The sequence below is a fragment of the Homo sapiens genome, chromosome 3 (assembly GCF_000001405.40).
Source record: "Homo sapiens chromosome 3, GRCh38.p14 Primary Assembly".
In the NCBI taxonomy this organism is placed as follows: Eukaryota; Metazoa; Chordata; class Mammalia; order Primates; family Hominidae; genus Homo; species Homo sapiens.
This window is the reverse complement of record NC_000003.12, coordinates 172,882,026-172,886,087: the sequence shown is the minus strand read 5'-3', so window position 1 is coordinate 172,886,087 and position 4,062 is coordinate 172,882,026. Positions and strand designations below refer to the sequence as shown.

The 4,062-nt window shown below is 38.0% G+C and overlaps 1 annotated feature.

The window, feature by feature from the left end:
- Positions 3,233-3,433: a silencer, noted in NCBI's record as "peak4926 fragment used in MPRA reporter construct". NCBI's record gives its function as "represses an SCP1 promoter by STARR-seq MPRAs in K562 erythroleukemia cells {active_cell/tissue: K562}" and the evidence as "EXISTENCE:reporter gene assay evidence [ECO:0000049][PMID:32103011]".

Genomic DNA, 4,062 nt, shown 5'->3' with positions numbered 1-4,062 from the left:
TGATCACAGACCAACGTCCCTTAAATCAAAATGTATTGAAGGTTGAGAGACCACTGGCAGAGCAAAGCTGTGATTTACAGTGGCTTGATTCATTGAGATGATATGATGGAGTCTAAGTTCAATCAGATATTTCACAAGTGGCCTGATCCACTCAGCAGTTTCCTGGGCTCATGGACATGGATACAAAGGACTATTGTACAATCTTGACAAGCAGCAGATTGTCAAGATGGAGTGTAATGACACCTGGAGGCAGGCAGCTATTTATGACAAACCATCAAAGGAAAGGTAAGTCAGAAAATAGACCCAAAGAGCATCCCAAAAGTTTTAATGCGAGCATACTCTGTTTGTATCTTAATGAAAAAAAGCCAGAGACACTCACACCACAGGAGATAATCAAAGCTCAAAATTATTCTCCATGCATGTGATATAATAAATAGTATGGGAACTTGAAAATTGTATATTGAATATGTGCTTTTATTGTGATCCACCAATCCAAGGCAATGTGCAGAATTAATATGCATTAATAATCAAGACTTTAGCTTCCTTTTAAAATAAATGTTTGAAAAAGTAGCAAGGCAAATATTTAGTGAGAAATGAGAAGACCAAATCCCTGATGTTAACAGGAAGTCAGCCCTTTCTCTAAAACTCATACAACAGGTTGACAGATATAAATAGTTGTCTCAGGTCTGCTTCCATAAAGCCAGAAGGGAAAGCTGGTATAGTACAGCTGTTAAATAGAAAGATACCTCTCACAGGTGCCACCCAAGTTAGCTGATGATGATAGTAATCATCATATGAAAAGCAAAATGGGCTTAGATTTTGAAGACCTGTGTTCAAATCCTAGCTCTGTGTAAAAAGGGATAATTCTTTTCCTACCTAATAAGGTTTTAGTAAGGAATAAATGACATAATGAATCATGAAATAATTTTTAAACACTGAAGCAATAATACCTTACCTGTATTGACAACTCACTATAAACCAAACATTGTTCAGCTTTGTCCTTATCACAATGCTGAGACAAGAAATGTTATCTTCTTTTTACCTAATAGTAACGTCAAGCCCAAGGGGTGAAGTGACTTTCTTACAGCTAGAAAGTAGCAAAGCTTGAATTTGAACCAGGCAGTTTTACTCCAGAATAGGGACTTGATATACTGCTTTTCTGTGTTTTATTTTTATATCACTGTTTTTAGAACCTTGTGGGTCCTAAGTAAAATTAGAAATATACATGCCTAAGATTGCCCAAAAATGACCATGGGAACTTACTCCATCCAATTAGGTAGGCACTACTCATGTGGGACAACTGAGGCCCTGAAATTGGCTAGTGCAAACAAAGAACTGAATTTTTAATTTTAAATTTAACTTGTTAAAGTTAAATTTAAATTTAAAAACTGATACTCAATTCAGTTATTGGAAAATGTTGAAGTATATTTGGAACAACTTGGGTATGAATATTGACTTTTTAACTCTACATTTTATGAAATCTAAATACAGATCAAGTATTCTGGATGAAAATTTAGCATTCAAATTGAGATGTGCTGTAAGTGTAAAATACACACTTAATTTCAAAGACTTGGTATCAAGGATGTAAAACACCTCAATAACAATTTTTATATTGATTACATAAAACAACAATTTTTGGATATAGTGATTCAAAGAAAATATATTATTAAAATTAATGTTACCCATTTTTTGTTAATTTTTTAATGTAGTTACTAAAATATTCAAAATTACGTAGGTGGCTCAAATGATATTTCTGTTGAACAGCACTGGCCTGGACAATAAGTCAGATGGAATTGAGAGCTCTTCCCTTCTTCTGGCAGGATGAGCTGAACTGGATCTCAGCCTTCAGTCCCTGACTGTAAGTTTCTGTGAACCCAAGGTCCCCAGGAGCAGGGCAATTGGCTTTTCCAGACAACCGGCCATGAAAGTCCTATAGTCTGTTAGTATCTGTATTAGTCTGTTCTTTCACTGCTAATAAAGAACAGCCCAAGACCAGGTAATTTATAAAGGAAGGAGGTTTAATTTATTCAGAGTTCCACATGGCTGGGGAGGCCTCAGGAAACTTACAATCATGGTGGGAGGTGAAGGGGAAGCAATCATGTCCTTCTTCACATGGAGGCAGGAGAGAAAAGTGCAGAGCAAAGGTGGGCAAGCCCCTTATAAAACCATCAGATCTCATGAGAACTCATTCACTATCATGAGAATAGCATGAGGGTACTGTCCCCATGATTCAATTACCTCCCACCAGGTCCCGCCCCCAACACATGAGGATTACAATTCAGGTTACAATTCAAGATGAGATTTGGGTGGGGACACAGAGCCAGACCACATCAGTATCTATCCCCTTTAATACTTTTCCTTAAGATGAGAGATCAACAAGGAAGAAGGTTCTGCTCCCAGAATGTGCACCCACAGTGTGTCCAACACAATGCCCTACAGCCAGCACATCTTGCTGTGGACATGACAAATATTACATCTGACTGAACCTTGCATTGTTTCCCTAATAAAGCCTTTCTTTATAAAGCAGAACTATAGGATTTGCCTTGGCTTAAGACAGATGGTGATCGCTAAAGGACCCACCTTGCACAACAGTGCCTCCTGGGAATACTTGAGCAGAATAATCCTAGGAAAAGCCCAAAATTTTCTACTAGTAGGAAGGTAGATACTCAAAGAGCATTGAGATTTGTGATCTTATCGTTAATGTAACACATGGTTACTTAACACAGGAGAAGCCAAGGATATACTGGGAACATCTGTAACCAGTGTTAGTCCCTTGAGTCACATTATCCCATAAAAACATAAGTGGTAGCAAAGCGAAGTTCCTGAACTAGCACACACAATGCATTTAACCAAGAACAAAGTAGAAACACAATACTATTTATATACTCCAGGGACAGAGAATTCCTTTCCACTAGCAGAGAAAGAGCTATCTATTGATAAGAAAATTGACCTCCATATAATGCTAATTAAATGAGAGCATCCAAATATATGCCAGGACACAGAATGGACATTAGGACAGTAATGTGAGGTAATACAGAAAGCATTGGCTTTCTCATTGTGTAATCCATATCTCAGTTACCAAATCCATGAAATGATGATAATAGTCCTCATATGTGTATTGAGAGCCCCCATATATTTTAATGGTATAAATAGTGTGTGACACATAATGGAGAGTCTAAATATTAGTGTCCTCCCTCTGAGATAGAAAGTAGAGTAAAAAACAGTCCCTGGCCTAAAGGAGTTAACACTATAGCAGAAGGGGCAGGCCTGCAAAGGACTGTCCTGAAATATCTCTGATAGTGCTGCCTGAGTACCTCTATGTGGCAGGGAGGAAGGAGCTGCTAGCTCTGCGTGGGTGTGTGAATGCAGGACAACCAGAAAATGAATGCTCAGAGGACAGAGGGACAGGAATATGACACCAAAGATGTATGAAATTGAACTAATATGAAGTGGTCCCAAAACAGGAAGTAGAAATGGCTTCCTTGAAAATAAAATTGCTTTCAAGCTATTTTATTGCCATTTGCCTTTCTCATAAATGTTTAACACAGAAAAGCCAGTTATTTGAGGTATTTAATGAGCTGTGGTCCAAATAATAACAATTTAAAACTAAAAATATATGTGCTCTACCAGAACTCTAGATCTTTTTAAGATAGAAGTATGTCTTCTCCCTTATACTTTACAACAAGGCAGGCTTTTTTTTCTATTCTAGCTCAAAATGTCAAATTTTTCCACCCTGCCTGCTTCATTCCCACTGTCACTGCCTTAGTTCAGACTTTTTCACATCTCCTACAAGTTGTCATTGCAGGTGGGCCCTGCCTCAATCAGTTTGCTGCTATAACAAATTATCATAAACTGGGTGGCGTAAACAACATTTATTACTCCTAGTTATGGAGTCTAGGAAGTTCAAGATCAAGGTGCTAGCAGATCTGATGTCTGGTGAGGCCCTCTTCCTGGCTTACAGATGGGTGCTTTCCTGCTGTATCCTCACCTGATAGAGAGTAGAAAAGGGAAGCAAGCTTACTGTGTATCTCTTTATGCAGACAATAATCCCATCATTAACTC